Genomic DNA, 20194 nt, shown 5'->3' on the forward strand with positions numbered 1-20194 from the left:
TTATACACCAACAAGAGACAAACAGAGAGCCAGATCATGAGTGAACTCCCATTCACAATTGCTTCAAAGAGAATAAAATACCTAGGAATCCAACTTAAAAGGGATGTGAAAGACCTCTTCAAGGAGAACTACAAACCACTGCTCAATGAAATAAAAGAGGATACAAACAAATGGAAGAATATTCCATGCTCATGGGTAGGAAGAATCAATATTGTGAAAATGGCCATACTGCCCAAGGTAATTTACAGATTCAATGCTATCTCCATCAAGCTACCAATGACTTTCTTCACAGAATTGGAAAAAACTACTTTAAAGTTCATATGGAACCAAAAAAGAGCCCGCATTGCCAAGTCAATCCTAAGCCAAAAGAACAAAGCTGGAGGCATCACACTACCTGACTTCAAACTATACTACAAGGCTACAGTAACCAAAACAGCAGGGTACTGGTATATAGATATAGATCAATGGAACAGAACAGAGCCCTCAGAAATAACGCCACATATCTACAACTATCTGATCTTTGACAAACCTGAGAAAAACAAGCAATGGGGAAAGGATTCCCTATTTAATAAATGGTGCTGGGAAAACTGGCTAGCCACATGTAGAAAGCTGAAACTGGATCCCTTCCTTACACCTTATACAAAAATCAATTCAAGATGGATTAAAGACTTAAACGTTAGACCTAAAACCATAAAAACCCTAGAAGAAAACCTAGGCATTACCATTCAGGACATAGGCATGGGCAAGGACTTCATGTCTAAAACACCAAAAGCAATGGCAACAAAAGCCAGAATTGACAAATGGGATCTAATTAAACTAAAGAGCTTCTGCACAGCAAAAGAAACTACCATCAGAGTGAACAGGCAACCTACAAAATGGGAGAAAATTTTCGCAACCTACTCATCTGACAAAGGGCTAATATCCAGAATCTACAATGAACTCAAACAAATTTACAAGAAAAAAACAAACAACCCCATCAAAAAGTGGGCGAAGGACATGAACAGACACTTCTCAAAAGAAGACATTTATGCAGCCAAAAACCACATGAAAAAATGCTCCCCATCACTGGCCATCAGAGAAATGCAAATCAAAACCACAATGAGATACCATCTCACACCAGTTAGAATGGCGATCATTAAAAAGTCAGGAAACAACAAGTGCTGGAGAGGATGTGGAGAAATAGGAACACTTTTACACTGTTGGTGGGACTGTAAACTAGTTCAACCATTGTGGAAGTCAGTGTGGCCATTCCTCAGGGATCTAGAACTAGAAATACCATTTGACCCAGCCATCCCATTACTGGGTATATACCCAAAGGACTATAAATCATGCTGCTTTAAAGACACATGCACACGTATGTTTATTGCGGCATTATTCACAATAGCAAAGACTTGGAACCAACCCAAATGTCCAACAATGATAGACTGGATTAAGAAAATGTGGCACATATACACCGTGGAATACTATGCAGCCGTAAAAAATGATGAGTTCATGTCCTTTGTAGGGACATAGATGAAACTGGAAATCATCATTCTCAGTAAACTATCGCAAGAACAAAAAACCAAACACCGCATATTCTCACTCATAGGTGGGAATTGAACAATGAGAACACATGGACACAGGAAGGGGAACATCACACTCTGAGGACTGTTGTGGGGTGGAGGGAGGGGGGAGGGATAGCATTGGGAGATATACCTAATGCTAGATGACGAGTTAGTGGGTGCAGCACACCAGCATGACACATGTATACATACGTAACTAACCTGCACATTGTGCACATGCACCCTAAAACTTAAAGTATAATAATAAAAAATAAATAAATAAATAAATAACAAAAAATAATAGTATCTACCGTATAAGTTACTGTGAGGATAAAATAATCCAATTAATCCATGTTAGTCACAGTGTTTGGCATATACTAAGTGACTGATACAGGTTAGAATGAGACTTTACTCCCTGCCTCCCTTTTTAAATTTTGTTTTTACTTTGTATTTTTTTTTTAAATTGAGATATAATTTACACACAGTGAAATTCACAGATTTTAACTGGACAGTTCAATACATTTTGACAAATCCATGCCTCTTTTTGATAAAAGCCCCATGCCCTTTCTATTCCCTATATTCTAAAGTTTTTTGTTTTCCAAATGCTGAATTATATTACAATATATAATCTATCCATGAAAAATCTTCACCCCCCCACCACCAGCATACAGATTCTATTTTTTTCCCCTCATCTTAAGGTCTGCTTCTATAGGTTTTAAAATAGCTCCTCCCCACCCCCAGCCAATTTAAAACCTAGAAGGACCTTGGTACAGTCATTTTGCCACTTTCCTGCATCCTGGAAAGTCTATAGATAAAAACCAGTTGGTTTTATTTTTAGATCTCCAGGGAAAGCTTTTCTGCAACCTCTCTCAGTCACCTGTTTCAGCGCTTAGCAACACTTAACATTAGAAAGCTCTGTCTCTGTGTGTCCCTAGCTTTTAAATGGGTAATAACCACTAATGTTGATATAATGCTTTAGCAAGAGCCATGAAATGAGATAAGAAAGGAGGCAGAGTGGAGTAAACCTGGCCACATAAATGAGTGCATGTTTGTCCTTGTTGAGAATGGCAGGATTTGACCCAACTGAGATTGTGCCCAGGCAGAGGGTAAGCACTATTCAGCTCTACCTCATTGTTCTACAGGTGTGAAACCAGATCTACAGGTTTTCTACAGTCACCAGATCTTCAGATTTTCCTTCCAGGGAAAAAGGCAGAAATTTGTATTTTTATGTGAAATATTTTTTTTTAATATTAGCTTGCAAAAAAAAAAAAAGAAAAGAAAAAGAAAGAGAAAAGAAAGAAAGCTCTCTGTAGGTCAAGAAAACATGTCTGCTGCCTGCACATAGCCCATAGATCAGCTTATAATCCCTGTTGTAGTTCATACAGTGCTTTTACATCTACTACCTCATTTAATCTTGAGTATACCTGCAAGACAGGAAAGGCAAGGGGGCGTACAATCCTGATTTATTTTGTTTTGTTTTGGTTTTTTTTGAGACGGAGTCTCGCTCTGACGCCAGGCTAGAGTGCAATGGCGCGATCTTGGCTCACTGCAACCTCCACCTCCTGGGTTCAAGTGATTCTCCTGCCTCAGCCTCCCAAGTAGCTGAGATTACAAGTGTGCACCACCATGCCCGGCTAATTTTTGTTTTAGTAGAGACGGGGTTTCACCATGTTGGCCAGAATGGTCTCGATCTCCTAACCTCGTGATTCGCCCAACAATCCTGAGGCTTGTTAAGAGAAGAAACTGAGGCTTAGAAATATGAAATAAGTTGTTCAAACCACACATCTGGCAGAACCTAGGACTTATGGTTCTATTTCACTGTGACTCCTGCTACATCCCAGCTTTGCCCTCCAGGGGCCGTTAGAGCCCTTGTTCACTTCTTAGTGAGTGGAGACATCACCCAGAGTTTACTAGTTGTTTGTGGAAAATGCAGGAAAAAATGAAGGGCAACTCAAAGAGTAAATCTGGTATAAATGCAATAGAATATTGGTTGCAAAGAGCAATAACAATGACATCTTATGGGGGATTAAATATTTGTAGAATTAAAAGCTATGATAGGCCGGGTGCAGAGGCTCACACCTGTAATCCCAGCACTTTGGGAGGCTGAGGCAGTTGTATCACCTGAGGTCAGGAGTTTGAGACCAGCCTGGCCAGCAAGGTGAAACCCTGTCTCTACTAAACATACAAAAATTAGCCAGGCATGGTGGTGGGTGCCTGTAATTCCAGCTACTCTGGAGGCTGAGGCACAAGAATCACTTGAACCGGTGAGGTGGAGGTTGCAGTGAGCTGAGATTTTGCCTGAGCAACAAGAACGAAATTCCGTCTCAGAAAAACAACAAACAAGAAAACAAAACAAAGATAAACAAATAAATAAATGCTATGATAAAAATAAAAACACCCGGCCGGGCGCGGTGGCTCACGCCTGTAATCCCAGCACTTTGGGAGGCCAAGGCGGGTGGATCACGAGGTCAGGAGATCGAGACCATCCCGGCTAACATGGTGAAACCCCGTCTCTACTAAAAATACAAAGAAATTAGCCAGGCTTGGTGGCGGGCACCTGTAGTCCCAGCTACTCGGGAGGCGGAGGCAGGAGAATGGCGTGAACCTGGGAGGCAGAGCTTGCAGTGAGCCGAGATGGCGCCACTGGACTCCAGCCTGGGTGACAGAGCGAGACTCAGTCTCAAAAAACAAACAAACAAACAAACAAAAAACACCCTGAGGTAGTTGACAGGTTTAAACTTTCTAAGGTCTTTGGATTATTTCAGAAATGGGAAAAATATCAACTTATATTGGACCATAGTAAGAAAGAGTGGCCACTATAAGAAGAATAGAAGAACATATAACTGAGAAGCTAATACAGGGAAAAATACTGGATTAATATAAAAGAAGGCAAGAAAGGAGAGAAAATGACATAAAACAGGTAGGACAAATAAAAAATCAGAAAACAAATAGAAAGATAGTAAATATAAACCTAACTATATCAGTAATTACATTAAATGTAAACGGACTACTTCAATGAAAATACGAATACGGTCATGCTAGATAAAATATAAAAACCCAACTGTATGTCCCTTAAGTATAAGGACACAAAAGGTAGAAAGAAAAGGGCTGGGTTGAGTGGCTCACACCTGTAATCTCAGCACTTTGGGAAGCCAAGGTGGGAGGATCGCTTGGGGCCGGAGTTTGAGACCAGCCTGGGTAGCATTGTGACACCCCTGTTTCTACAAAAATAAAACATTAGCTGGTGTGGTGATGCACACCTGTCGTCCTAGCTACTTGGGAGGCTGAGGCAAGAGGATTCCTTGCCTCAAATTCCTGCAGCCCAGGATTTTGAGGCTGCAGTGAGCTCTGATCACTGTACTCTAGCCTGGGCAACAGAATGAGAATCTGCCTCATTAAAAAAAAAAAATGCCTAGTATACACCAATCAAAAGAAAACTGTGTAGCTATACTGATACCAGGCAAAGTAGATTTATAGCATGAAGCACTACCAGAGAGATTAATGCTGTAATGAATGAATATGGTCATCCATTTTATAATGATAGTGTGATAGTGTGGTCAATTTTTTCATTGATAATGATTTTATAATGACAGTATGGTCAATGTGTCAGGAAAATATAACAATTATTGGCTTATATATAACTTTCATATCACTAAAAGTATATAAAACAAAGATGAACAGAACTAAAGGAGAAACAGATAAAGCCACAGTCACAGAGGGAAACTTTACCACATCTCTCTTGATAACTGACAGAATGATCAGACAAAAAAATTAACGAGGATATGAAAGATCTGAAAAACAAAATTGACACAAACTTGACCTACAGATGCATACAAAACACTGTTCACAATGATGACAAAAGTATTAATACATTCTTTCCAAGTCTACGTGAAATGTTTCTAAAATTTGAACATATATTGTGGCAAAAACCAAGTTCTAAGAAAATCCCAAGAACTGAAATCAGTCAGAATTTTCTGAGTATGTTAACTTAAACTAGAAATCAATAACAAAAAAACCCTAAAATATCACCGAATATTAATAAAATTCTAAGTAATCCATGGGTTAAAGAAGAAATCACAGTGGAAAAATTTCATCCTTAATAATAAAATATGACAAATCAAAAATGTGTGATGCAATTAAAGCTTTACTTATAGCTTTATACATTTATATTAGGAAAGAACAAGGCTGAAATTCAAGAATCTAAGTATTCATTGAATAATGTTTTAAAAGAACGGCAAATTAAACTCAAAGTGAGAAGAAGGAAGGGAATCATAAAAATAAGATCAGAAATTAATGAATTAGAAAACAAAACAAAACAACAAAAAAAGAAAGTAATGAAATAGAAAACAAATGCACCTTAGAGAAAGTCAACAACGCCAAATTTTGGTCTTTGAAAAGACTAATAAAAATGAATTGATCTCTAACAAGACTCGTCAAGACAAAAAGAGGAAAAGCACAAATTACCTATATCAGAAATTAAATTCACCGCAAACCTTTCAGACACTAAGAAGTTAATAGACTATTACATATCCTTATGCCAAACATTTTAGAAAATTTAGGTAAATGGAAAACTTTCTAGAAAAGCACAATTTAAAAAAAACAATTAAAAAATAAAAATCTGAATAGCTGTATATCTACTAAATCAATTAAATATATAATTAAAAATCTTCACACAAAGAAAACTCTAGGCACAAATGGCTTCACTGATGAATTATCCCAAATATTTCAGAAATAAATAATATCAATACTGTGCAAACTCAAAAAATAGAGAATATTACATTCTATGAAGCCAATATAATTTGGATATCAAAATCTGACATACACATGAAAAGGAGAGAAGATTTTGGCCAATCTCTTCCAAGAATGTAGCACAAAACTTACAAACAAAATATCAGCAAATTGAATCCAATGATACATAAAATAGACAATAGATCAGGACTAAGCGGATTTGTTCAAAAACACAAGAATTATCTAACAAATGAAAACCGATCAACGTAGTTCATGCCCTAAACAAAATAACTGAGAAAAATCAATATGGTCATCTAAATAAATGAGAAAAAGGTTTAATATTTTAACACCCATGAATGAAAAAGTTATTAGTGAACTCAGACTAAAAGAGAATTTCTAGATCTTTTAGAGTATCCACAAAACTCTTAAGGTAAAAATAATACTTGAGAAATAGTGAAAATTTTCCCATGAAATCAGAAATGAAAAGATGCTCAGCACACATCACGATTTCTATTCGTATTATACTAGGAGTCTTAAGCCACTTCAATAAAACAATAAAAACAAATATGTAACTTGTTATAAGAATTGGAAAGAAAAGAATAAAATTTGCATTATTTGTAGTCAGTACATTATATACATAGAAAAAAATAATCTACAAATTGTGATCAAAAACTGAATTTGGGGCCGGGCACAGTGGCTCATGCCTGTAATCCCAGCACTTTGGGAGGCCAAGGCGAAAGGATCACTTGAGCCCAGGAATTTGAGATCAGCCTGGGCAACATGGCAAAACCCTGTCTCTATTAAAAATACAAAGAATTAGCCGGGCATGGTGGCACACACCTGTAATCCCAGCTACCCAGGACGCTGAGGCACAAGAATCGCTTGAACCCGGGAGGTGGAAGTTGCAGTGCGCCGAGATTGAGCCACTGCACTCCAGCCTGAGTGACAGAGCAAGACTCTGTCTAAAAAAAAAAAAAAGAAAGAAAGAAAAGAAAAAAGAAAAAAACTAAAAACCCGAAACCCCCCAAATTTGGCAAGATTTATTGATTTTAAGGCCAATATAAAAATCACTGCTCTGTATACGTGCCAGTGCAAAAAAAAAGGTCAATTTATATTATCAGTGCAAACAGAAAGGAAAAAAATTTTAATTAATTTCATTTACAATAGCATCAAAAGTTTAAAATACTTAAAACTAGGTGTTATAAAAGATGTGCAAGACCTTTATACTGAAAACTATAAAACTTTGCTGAGAGAAATTTAATAAAATATAAAGACGGTCGTCTCCCCAAATGCATCTATGGATTAACAAAGCTGTCTGAACTACCAGATATTAAGACTAATGATATAGCCATAGTAATTAATTCAGTGTGGTATTGAATTAAATTGAAGGAGATTAGTGGAATAGAGAAGGGTACAGACATAGATCCACATACACGGATACACAATTACTTGATTTATGACAAGTGTGAAATGGTAGGGTGGTGAGGGAAAGTTAGTCTTCTTAATAAATAGTTGCTGTGTAAATTGCATATCCATACCAAAAAAAGTGCATCTTGAACCCACCCAATCCCATACACAAAAACCAGTTCTAGATGGATTAAATGTGAAAGGAAAATCCATAACTCTTCTAGAAGAAAACAAAGAAGAATGTTTTCATGATCTTTGGGACAGGCAAAATTTTCTTACATACACACAAATACCATTAATTATATAAAGGGAAAAATTGATAAAATTAAGAACATTAGCTCAGCCAAAGATTTAATTTAGAGAGTAAAGGGGCAAGCCCCAGAATAGAAGAAGATATTTGCAAAACGCATATATGCCAAAGAACTGAAATTCAAAACATATAAAGAACTCTTAAAAACCAAAAAGAGACAGCTAACCCTGTAGAAAAATGAGTAAAAGGCTTGAACAGGTACTTCACAAAAGAAGATGGCCAAAGGGCGAATAAATTTATGAAAAAGTGTTCAGTTTCAGTGCTCGTAAAAAATGAATTTAAAACCAAAATGAGATGTCATATGACCGCACTGGATTGACTCACATTAAAATGATGGAAAATACCATTGTTGCAGAAGCTGTGGAGACTCTTCATTGCTAGTGGGAATGGAAATTGCACAACATATATGGAAATCTATGTGGTAGGTGCCACGAAAATCACACATGCATGCCCCACGTCCCAGCAGCTGCAGTATAGGAATCATAAAATCAGCTCCTCACTTGCTCCAGGTTTACTCATGTCTCCCTGCACTAAAATAATCTCTTTTGAGCCCATTTTCTCTTAAAATCTTCCAAGTTTCTTCTCACCTTTTCTCCCTCAGGAGCGTGACGAGGGCTTCTATCCTCCTATATTTAGCAGCTCCTGGAAAGAGACCCGTCCCTAGGACACATCTCAACACCCTTAGGAACTGACCACAGCCTGGAGCCACCGTGGCGTAGAATGTGGGGGAAACTTTTGTGACATGGTGCCAAAGCAATCATTGGGCCTCCTGTGTCACTCTCCTAAATCGAGGCCTGAAACAGCCTGGCTGAAGTAATTTTTTTTTTTTTTTTAAGAATGATACCTAATGTTGGCTTGATAGGCAGAATAGAACATGACCCCCCAAAGATGCCCGTATCCTAAACCATGGAACTTGTGAATATGTTACACTGCATGACAAAGGGGAACTGAGGTTGCTAATCAGCTGAGTGTAGGAAGATTGTCCTAGATCATCCAGGTGGATCTGATCTAATGACACAGGCCCTTAAAAGTGGAAGAAGGCAGGAGAGTGGATCAGAAAGATGTGATGTGAGGAGGACTGACTGCTGTTGCTGGATTTGAAGATGGAGGAAGAAGGCCTTGAGCCAAGGAATGTGGTAGCCGCTAGCCAGCAAGAAAACAGAGACTTCTTCCTTCAATCACAGGGAATTGAGTTCTGCCAGCAACCCGAATGAGCAAAAAATGAATTTTTCCCTAGGGCCTCCAGAAAGTAAGGTGATATGCTAACATCTTTTTTTTTTGGGGTCTTGCTCTGTTGCCCAGGGTGGAGTGCAGTGATATAATCACAGCTCACTGTAGCCTCCAACTCCTGAACTCAAGTGATCCTCCTGCCTTAGCCTCCCATGTAGCTAAGACTACAGTTGCAGGCCACCATGCCCAGCTAGTTTTTAAATTTTTTGTAGAGATGAGGTCTTGCTTCCTTGCCCAGCCTGGTCTCAAACTCCTGGCCTCAAGCAATCCTCCCACCTCAGCCTCCCAAAGCACTGGGATTTCAGGCATGAGCCACCAGTGCGCCTGGCCTAAAGCTGCCTGGTTTATAGCTATTTATAATAGTACAGCAGCAATGGAAAACTGAGATAGTTGTCAAGGAGGCAAGAAAATAGGACTTTCATAAGAAAGCAGGCTGTTTTATCAGAAAAGAATTCACTAAAACATGGATTCTCCAAATAGCCCGTTAATGGAATAAGTCAATAAATGTACCAAATTTACTGATTTACAACAACACTGAAAGTAGCCTGTGGATTCTGGAGTACTGTGAGGGATGATGTAGGAAGGGAACCTTCAGAACTACTCCCACTGTTCAAATGGCTATGTGCTACTTCCAGTAATCATAGATGATTTATATGTTGTAAAAAAATAATAATATCAACTTGGTAGCAATTTTCAGAAAATCTATATAGCTCACAATCAAGACAAAACTGGTCAAAATATAAAAAAGAAGGTATCAGTGACAGACTAGAATCACCAAATCTGGATACAGATTCGCTATAAATATGAAATTAACTAAGAGAGTCAAACACTAATTGGCTCCAAATAGTAGCCCAGAAGATGCGCCAAGCAAGAAAAGGGCAGAAACCATCAGAAGGATTTAAAATAGAAACTGATATGCCATTGAGAAATTGACAAAAGAAAGCCCCAAATGACTAAAAATGGGAATGATAGAAAATGGCACGCAGGAGTCCAAAACAATCCTGTGAATTCTTTACAGGAGAAATGATAAAAATTTAACAATTTAATGGCTAGAAATGCATTGAGGTTAACACACAATCTGAGGAATTAGCAAATGAATGCTAAAAATGCATGTAATTGAATAAATGTAAGAGACATTCACCAGCACACTAAAGAGATCAGAGGAAACAATACCATCTAATATGAAATTCTGACATTTTGATGTCTAGCAAGGAATACTTGGGATCTGAGGACTTAGTAGCAGTTTGCAGAAGAGTTGACAAAAAAGAGTAAACTGTTCCAGGCAGCCAAAAAAGAGTACAGAAATCTAGGAGAGATTACTTTAATGAGCAGTACAATGAGTGCCTTGAATATGACAGACATTAATGATCAATATACAATAGAAATATATAAAATACAAAAATATTAAGGAAAGCCAAGCACAGTGGCTCATGCCTGTAATCCCAGAACTTTGGGAAGCCGAGGCAGGTGGATCACTTGAGGTCAGGAGTTCAAGACCAGCCTGGCCAACATGTTGAAACCCCATCTCTACTAAAAATACAAAAATTAGCTGGGCATGGTGGCACAAACCTGTAATTCCAGCTACTTAGGAGGCTGAGGCAGGAGAATCACTTGAACCAGTGAGGTGGAGGTTGCAGTGAGCCGAGATTGCACCACTGCACTCTAGCCTGAGTGACAGAGTGAGACTCTGTCTAAAAAAAAAAAAAAAAAAAAAAAAGGTATCTAAGGAAAGGTAACAAGTCAATTGGTTATTAATCCAAAAAATGCTAGACAATTGCTAAGCTGAGAAACTATGGAGAAAGTAGCTGAACACTGAACACTCATAAAAATTTTAAGTGTGGCAACAGAAAATGACATTAAAAAAGAATTCAAAACAAATCAGTAAAAACCGAAAGATTTTTGTTTAAAATGACAACATTCTGGTGTCTAATGAGGAAATACACTTTTTGAATATTAAAGATACCCACACACAAAGCCCCATCATTTCAACAAACTGAGTAATCCGTAATGCCTGCTTAAGAACAAAATGAAAACCCATCCACTCAGACTTGTTGGTGATCTCCAAAAACCACATGAAAACCTTCTTGCGCAGTAGAAATCTTTACAACTATGTTAATCAGTACATTTGTTAAATTATTTACTCTGTTAATTGGTAGTTTGAAGAATTGGCTTTGGCTTGTTCTGTCTGTTCTGTCTGTCTTTGGCTTGTTCTATCTGTCTGTCTGTCACTCTATCTTCCTAACTGGCTATTTTGTGAATTGGTTATTTGATGAATTGGTTTTTGGAAAAATGGCTTTAGATCGATTCAGTGTTGGTAAATTCACCCAAAACCACTTCCTCCATGGCAAATGGGAAAGGCAAATAGATTTAAAAAAAAAAAAAAAAAAAAAAAAAGCTTTCTGGAAAGCAATTTGGCAACCCTTGTTAGAAACTGTAAAAATGTGAATGGGATTCATTGACCAACAATTCTGCTTCAAATAAATTATTTTTAAAACAGTCCAGGCACAGTGGCTCACACCTGTAATCCCAGCATTTTGGGAGGCTGAGGCAGGCAGATCACCTGAGGTCAACAGTTTGAGACCAGCCTGGCCAACAAGGTGAAACCCCGTCTCTACTAAAAATACAAAAATTAGCCAGGTATGGTAGTGCATGGCTGTAGTCCCAGCTACTCAGGAGGCTGAGGCAGGAGAATCGCTGGAACCTGGGAGACGGAGGTTGCAGTGAGCTGAGATCATGCCACTGCACTCCAGCCTGGGTGACAGAGCAAGACTCCCTCTTGAAAAAAAAAAAAAAGAAAGGTTAAAAAAGAATGAATGACAATGTGCAAAAAGATCAGGCTACATGGATTTTGTACCAGAATTATCTAATACAGTAAAATATTAAAGACAAGTAAAAATTTCAATAACAGGTGTTGGTTAAATGGATCAGCGGACTGTTATGAAGCTTTAAAATTTGTGCTGTGAAAGCACATTTGATGTCTTGAAAAGTTCTTCAAGCATTACTGTTTTTAAAAAGCTGTGAAACAGACTGATACTACTTTAGTAAACACACAAAAAAATGCCATATGCATGTGACTGAGTGGATAAACTCCAAAATATTTAGTTATTTTGGGGTTGGCATTATGGATAATTTTTATTTTCTTCTTTTTGTTTACCTGAATTTTCTAAAATTTCCACACTGAAAATGTGTTATTCTTTATAAAAAGAAAAAAGAGTTTTTAATCACTCATTAGCTTAGAAGCCAGGACACGCTTCCAAGGTATATGGCCTTATATAAGCCACTGTGCCTCTCTCCAAGTCTTCGTGTTTCTCATTTTCCTTGACCTTCACATCTCTTTCGTGGTCTTTCCCTTCCCTTCTTTAAATTTGGTTAGCGACCTACTACTTCTAGAAATTCATACCCCACGAACTACAGCATTGCTTGGAGACTGTTTTTTAACACTTACATGTTGTATGCTGACATACAGGGTTTGCATCCTCTAACTGTTGAGTGGCAGGCACTCAAGGAGCAAAGGACACCAAAAGGAGGAAGACACTCCTAGAAGTTCAGACTCTAGTGGAAGAGACAGATATTTGATCAGAAATGGCACTGCAATGTGGAAAAACACACTCATAAAAGTATGAGCAAAGTGGTCTAAGATCACAGAGGTCAGCAGTGACTTCTTGAAGAGGTAAGACTGGAGTTGGATCCTGGAGGAGGGAACATGATGAGCCCACAGTTATTGGCTATGACCAGGCCCTGTGGTATAGACTTTATGTGCCTTATGTCATATAATTCTCCCAGCAATCATACCAAGCATCCTCTCCCCTTCCCAACTTTTTCTTAAGCAGTTTAGAACACTGTAGTGTAAGAGGGTAAGTAACTTGCCCAGGTGCTGTGTGGTCACTCCTTGCCTTGTCCTCTTCTGCTGTCTCTCCCAGAGCACTGACCCCGGCAATCTACACTACCTAGACACCATTGCCAACTGGTTCAGCCAAGTGGGAGTCTGGAGGATGGGAGTTAGGGAGAAACCACAGAAGTTTCTGCCGCCTTCCTCCCAGCTCCACGTAGCAACTGCAGGTAGTAGCTTCAACAGTGGCTGTTTGCCTCCTTGGTTCCAGCCCCCATAAACCTTGACAGCCCTTCCTCAGTGGTCGCAGTTCCCATCAACCCTGGATTCCCAGGTTCTAGTAACCTACCTCCTCCTTTTGTCCCTCCAGCTTAGGCACTGCCTTCCTACATTCCATCTCTGCTCCGCCTCAGCCTCTCCTGCGTGGACTTGCAGCTCCACTGCCACCTCTATAATTAGTTCCTGATGTTAAAATCCCCACATGAACCATCTAGCATGGCCTGTGTTCCTGAACAGATCCTGACCCATATAGTCACACAGCTAATCAGTGGCTGAACTAGGATACTCATGGCTCTTGAACTCCAAAGTCTTCAAAGATGGTAGCCCACAGTCATTGAATAGTTACTGAGTGTCAAGGTCTTCAAACGTATCATCTCATTTAATCCTCACCACAACCCTACCAAGTGAGTGCTCTTATTATCTCCCATTTACAAGAGAAAAAGCCAAAGCCAAGAAACTTTCCCAAAAGGCACAGCAAGCAAGTTGGAGAAAGAAGAGTGAGACCCAGGCTGTTTGAATCCAGGACCTGTGTTCCTACCTCTTGGCTGTCCCAGGTTGGACAGAAAGGAGCGGGGAGATGGGAGAGATTCCTAAGAGAGGTGAGAGTTAGAAAAAAGGCAAGGGGAGCCTTGGACCAGTCTTTGACCTCAGGATTGCAGTTCCTGATCTGTAGTTTGAGAGGACAGACCTAGTCACCAATCCCCCCTTTCCTGGCACCCAACAGCAGTCTTGTCATTCTAGGCATCTATGGGAGAAGACAGTAAATGAAATATGCCAAGAAATCCAAGGTGTAGTGTTCAATGGCCATGCCCTTCTCTGCACCTCCCTCTGCTCCTCATCTCCACCCTCCTACTTCCCATGGTCCTCTCTCCTCCATTGGGAAAAAGCCCATAATCCCCTTGGGAAATCCACCCATCCTTCAGGCTCCCACTGCCTTGGCATTTGCACATCACAGGGAGTGCAGGTTGCTCTGACTCTAATTAGCAGGTGCTGAGCAGTTTCCACATTTTTTAGTAAATATGTCAAAACACAAAATCCATTCATTCTTTCCTCTCCTCTACCCTTCCCCTCCTCTTGTAAAACACGCTTTTCTCTCTTGGCTGCTCAGTGGAGAAGTGTTTTTCTTCAGCAAGAGTGAAAGTGGCATTAACACAGGGAGTCTGGCAGTTTTACAATCCTTTTCAAATCCTCATCTGCCCTCCTGGTCATTCATCCATCTGTTCATTCGTTCATTCATGTGCCTTCTATGGGGCAGGCACTGACTTAGGGCTTTGGGTTTTATTGGGGCCTCTCAAGTATAAGGCTGGCATCAGCAAGGATCCCATAGAGACCCTCCAGGAGATCCCATTATCACCCAGGACCCAGCCAGGGCAATAAGGTACCATGGAGCCTCGGGGGACTTAAGCACTTAATTTCCACCATCTCTCTGGGCCTCCTGCTGGGGTGACTGGAAAACAACTCCTTAAATCAAGCAGCAGCTGGCTCCCTCCCTGCTGGGCTCTCCTCCCCAGCACCCACCCCCTTTCCCTCAAGTCCCTGGGTTGGAGAAGCTGAATTTCCAGCCGTTATCCGCCTCTCCCTTTCCCAAACCTCCCCTGCAGCCTTTCTTCCCAAGCCCTCGCCCCAAACAAAAGAAACAGGAAGTTGAGAGGGTGGGGCTGCTGTTCAGACCCATCCAATCCCTGGAGCTTTTCCACAAAGCCTGCTGCCAGATTCCTTTTACAGCCTGGGTGCTTGGAACCAGTCTTAGCTCTCCTGGCCAGAATGAGGGACCTCGGAGTGGGCTGGGAGGGAGTGGGGGTGGAATTCCCCATCTGAGTGTTGTTTGTTGTTGAATTTAGGGTGACACAAGAATATAAACCCCATAGTGATTTTGAAGGGCTGGCAGTTCGGTTTCACCAGGAATTCACACAGGCCTCCCTGGCTCTCCTCCTGCAGCCTTCTGAGGCTATCTTTAGAGAAGGGAGAGGAAGAGGCCTGGGGTGTTCCAGGCTTGAGTCAACAAACCCCATCCAAATCCAGTCAAGCCAGCAATTTCACCTAATTCCACCAGCACCTACTCTTCCTTTGGCCTTTGTCAGTAGCCCCCCAGGGCTGCCACCTGCAACAGTCTTAGCCTACCCTTGGTCCAGCCTCCCAGGGTTGACAGAGCATCTCCCATGCCCCTAGGACTTCATGGACAAAAAGGGAAAGGAAGTGGTCCCTACCCTTGAGGATGAGCTCCTGGCTGTAGGAGACAGAGCTGTCTATGAGCCAAGTATTTCAACAGAGAAAATACAGTGTTGGGGTAGGGACAAGGGAAGTATAGTATATAAAACAATATGTGGGGGCCACAGAATAGAGGCTGGCAGGGCCTTGGATGCTGCACTACCCCAGTCTACTCAGTGATATGAAAACTGAGGCCCAGAGAAGTGAGGCACCTTGTCCAAGGTCACACAGCCAGTCAGGGGCAGCACAAGACTCACACCGAAGCCCCCTGGCTTGGAAAGTTAAATGTCCAGGTTGTGAACTACGCCCAGTTGTCAGTCAGTCCCTCTTCCTCCTCCTCCCCTCACTCTCCTCGGATCCCCCAGCGTTTACCCTCTCTGAGTGGCTGGGCCCCAGGAAAGCAGTCACTGGAACTATTCGGAGGAGGCAGTGAGCAGTGCCAGCAGAATCATTTCCATTAGTTTATACCATTTTGCAGCTCCTCCAATCTGCCTGCTCCCTGCTGGTCCTTCCATGTCCTGACTGAGATGGCTGTTCTGTTTGTTTCCATTGTCTGAGAAATAAAATGGTTTTGATTACACCCACGGTCTCTCGTGAATGACTGTACTTTGGCTACCCACAAGGCAAAAGGCACCAGCTGCATCCCTCAACCATGGCTCCTAGAAGAGGCCTGCTTGCCTATTCCACAGGGGCTTGAGCCTGAGCCAAGGGAGCCGCCCAGACCCCACCCACATTCACTGCTGATGCAGACTGAGCCTGGGGAGAGGCAGAGCTGTGCAAAGGGTAGCATCTGGGAGGGCCCTCTTCTGTTAGCCTCAAAGGAAGGGGAGGGCAAGGCCAAGGAGAGGAAACTAATGGTTTTAAGGGCATAAGGCAAAACTCAGTCCACAAAGTCAAAGTCCTAGTAGGCTTAGTACCTACTGTGCACCAGATCCTGTTCTCAAAGCTGAGGACTGAAGCAGTGAATGGAGGACAGCAACACCGGTGCCTCCCGATGGGAATCTTACTCTAAATCTTTAACAACTGGACCTGCATAGACACCAATCCATCAGCCACCAAGTAGCACAGTCCCAGGGTCTCCCCTACTGGGCTGGGAATTAACCCTTTAGGTGCTGAATCCTAATTAGGTCTTGGGGGTCCCAGGGAGGGACTGGAGCAGCCAGGATGGTGGAATCCCAGATAGCAGCTGCTCACCAACCAGCACAGAAGGACTGCAATATTACGGCAATATTAAATATCAGCCATATGCCCAGAGGGTCAGATGAGAAGGTTGGAGATGACTGTGGCAAACTCATCATTAGGGGCAACCACTATTCAGCAGTGGCCCATAATTGCCTCATGGGAGGAAGCAGCCCATTGATTCTGGATCTTCCCATTTTTCAAGAGGAGTCCGATCTGAAGTGTGTATGTGTGTGTAGAACTTTTTATTTTAAAACATTTGTTTACATAGCCAGACTAGGCCAAAGAAAATGTATCTTTGCCCATATGCCCTCTGAGAGCCCCCAGTTTGAGCCCTCTGGCCTTAGGGTACCAGGAACTGTGCTGAACTTTAACTGCAGTTAATTCCTCACAACGACCCACCAGGTTCTTGTTATTCTCTCCACTTGAAAGAGGAGAAAACTGAAAATCAGTTTTCTATGGGGTGATGGGAGCCAACAGGAGAACTCATCTGGAACAAGAGAAGGCAGCTGGTTGAACCCAAATCTGCCTGTCTCCAAGGAGGAGAGAAGACCCTCTTGGGTGCAAAAATGTTTCTGTGCTCCAGTCGGCATGTGTCCTGTTGATGGTTGGGCTGGGGCTGAGGACAGGTCTGCAGAGGGACTGGCAAGGTTGCTAGGGGTGGCTGAGATGGGCCTAGGATGCCTGCAGGAATGGTGGGAAGGGGTGTGAACCTGCATGGAGAAGTGGGAATGGGGTAGGTATGTTAGAGAGATTCTGGAGTTCATTCTTGTGGGAGGAATGAGTGGACTTGGGTCTTAGTGAGGACTCAGAGACCCCCTAGGAGGGGCTGAGGTTTTGTTTTCTATGATCCTGCAGAAAGGCCCACATGCCACCTTCTCTGCCCTGGCCCAGGGAACTGATTGCCAAGTGTGGCCGCACGGTACACCCTCCCTTCCAGGATGCCTGCTGCTCCTGGGTTCCAGTCTAGTTCCTTCCCAGGCCCTGGGTGGGGCCACCAGCTGGTAGGTGGGCTCTTGTGATCACCTTCAGCAAGACTGTGCTGTAGTGACAAGCATGAGAGCAAGGTGGGGCTGTGGGGAGGGTGGGGCAGGCAGAAAGGACTGACTGAGGAAGAAGCATGGGGACAGGAGCATACATGTCTGTAGGAAGAATGGTGAACTGTCCCCCTGTCCCAAAGGACTGGGACTGGTGGAAAGTGAAGGCTTAAATGGCAGGCTGTGACCAAGTTGAGGGATTCTTAAAGGACAAGGACCAGAGTTGAGATATTTCATTCAGCAGGCAATAGAGAGCCATGGAAGATTTGCTAGTGGGGTATCTGTCTTAGTTTGGGCTGCTATAACAAAATATCATAGACTGAGTGGCTTAAATAACAGATATTTATTTCTCCCAGTTCTGGAGGCTGGAAAATCTGAGATCAGGGTGCCAGCATGATTGGGTTCTGGTGAGACCTGTCTTTCTAGCTTGCAGACAGCTTCCCTCTTGCTGTATTCTTACATGGCCGAGAGAGCTTTAGTCTCTTGCTTTTCTCATAAGGACACTAATCCCATCATGGAGAATCTACTCACATGACCTCATCTAAACTCAATTACCTCCTAAAGTCCCCACCCTTCCTAATACCATCACATCGGAGGTTAGGATTTCAGCATATGATCCGGGTGCTGGGGGCGGTGCACAAACATTTAGTCCATAATAGCGTCAGACACATTGTGAGGCTGGAAGCTAATATCTGAGCTCCTAACTTGTGCTAGTCCCTTTGTGTATCCTTTATCCAGCTTTATATGTGTATATATATATTTATCTCCATATTCCTCTGATTCTGAGAACAGCCCTGTGAGAAAAATATTAAATAGTTTCACTTTGCACATAGGGATATTGCAGCTCAGAAATGTCCAACAACATTCCTGAGGTCATATAGCTGCTGGTAAATGACAGATCAGGATTGTAACTGAAGTCGGGGGACTTTGTGAAACTAGAGGCCAGAAGAGTAGCTAGAAGTACTATCTGGATATGAATAGTAATATCTGTAACTGCAATTGAGGCAGGAGAATCACGAGAGGGAATGAATGCTGGAGATCTCAGAGTGGGACCTAGTGAGAATTGATCCAGTATGGATGGGGCCAGAGGAAGAAGCCACAGAGGATGGGGCAGGGGAGAGGGGACTGATGGGAACCCTGGCAAAACCATTAGCAATGTAGAGAATTTGGGAGAGAGCTCAGTTTTCAGAAGATAGTCTTACTATGATTTTGGAAATGTTGTGTTAGTTATAGAGGAATGGGAAGTGGCATTTTTACTTCCCAGCTTGGCAGTACAGAAAGACAAACTAAAACAGAAACTTCCCAACTTTTTAACTCATCCACAGCAAAACAAAAACAGAAACAAACAAACAAACAAACAAAAAAACATGTGACAATACTTGCTCTTCCTCTACATAATGTACTCTGACTTTTCCTATCCTATTCTACTGAATTTCATGGTGGGGGCGTGGGTGGAGAAGGAGAACGCCGGCTGCCTCTCGTAGAATTGATTTCATGACTCACAAATGGGGAAGGGCCCAAAGTTTGGCTAAGACTTCACCAGAAGCAGGGTGGAGTGGAGCAGCCAGTCCTCATGGTCACCACACACGGACTTTATGAAAGACAGAACCAAGAGAGGAATTGATATTGGCAAGAATGGGAAATTGAGAATACTTAATGTTCAGGGGAATCAAGGAGGGCAGGGCTTCTAAAAGGCCCCTTATTTTTACAATGAGGGCATCAGGGACCTTCCAAGGAACTGTTTCAGTCAGTGAGGGAGGTGGAAGCAAGATTGGAAAATAGGAGTAGGCATAAGGAGATGAAAGAGGGAGGGGTGTTAAAGGCTTGCCTGCATGCAGAGGGGAGGGAGCCAGCAAAGAGGAAGTGATTGAAGGTGTCCCACAGTGAGCTGTGTGGGTGCGAGCGGAGGTGGTAATGGATGGAGCCAAGTCCACGTGGAGATGGAAAATCCTGGAATGAGCTGGGACAAAGAGCACTCTGGGAAGGAGGCCGGGTGCTTCTTTCTCTCAGATAGGAAAGGGGAGAGTCTAGGTAAAAATAGATATTTACAGGAGTGAAGAGGCAGTGATGGCAAGCAGAAGGGGAAAGATGTTGGAATGTGAACGGCTGAACCCAATTTTCTCAGCAATGTAGAAGGCAAGGTCATCTGCTGAGAATGAGGATGGCAACTTCATGTGAATGAGAAAAGTTGGGAACAGCTGCTAGGAAACATCAACAAGTAAAGAAACAAAAGAAAGGCTGAATAGTGGGAGGTCCAGTGTAGATCCCTTGGTCTGTGAAACCTGTGGTTTGCTGGTTTGGAGGGCCTCTGCTTTCTCCCCACGAATACTGTAAAAGCACGGCCCCTTCTTCTCCCCAAGGTTACACATCGAGCAAGGGTTCAGGGGATGTTGTTGATTCCCTGCTAAAAGGCCAAAGAACACAAACTATTATACCCTGATTTTTT

General features: G+C 42.0%; 1 protein-coding gene across 1 annotated transcript in view, besides 1 other annotated feature; it reads right to left on the minus strand.

The window, feature by feature from the left end:
• MARCHF4 (membrane associated ring-CH-type finger 4) overlaps positions 1-20194 on the minus strand; it is a 114619-nt gene that overhangs the window by 67293 nt on the left and 27132 nt on the right. The window lies entirely within an intron of this gene.
• Positions 15444-16156: an enhancer, noted in NCBI's record as "H3K27ac-H3K4me1 hESC enhancer chr2:217205324-217206036 (GRCh37/hg19 assembly coordinates)". NCBI's record gives its function as "activates a minimal SCP1, AML or CMV promoter by ChIP-STARR-seq in primed H9 embryonic stem cells {active_cell/tissue: H9 hESC(primed)}" and the evidence as "EXISTENCE:reporter gene assay evidence [ECO:0000049][PMID:30033119]".

This window comes from Homo sapiens, chromosome 2 (assembly GCF_000001405.40).
Source record: "Homo sapiens chromosome 2, GRCh38.p14 Primary Assembly".
NCBI classification, from domain to species: Eukaryota; Metazoa; Chordata; class Mammalia; order Primates; family Hominidae; genus Homo; species Homo sapiens.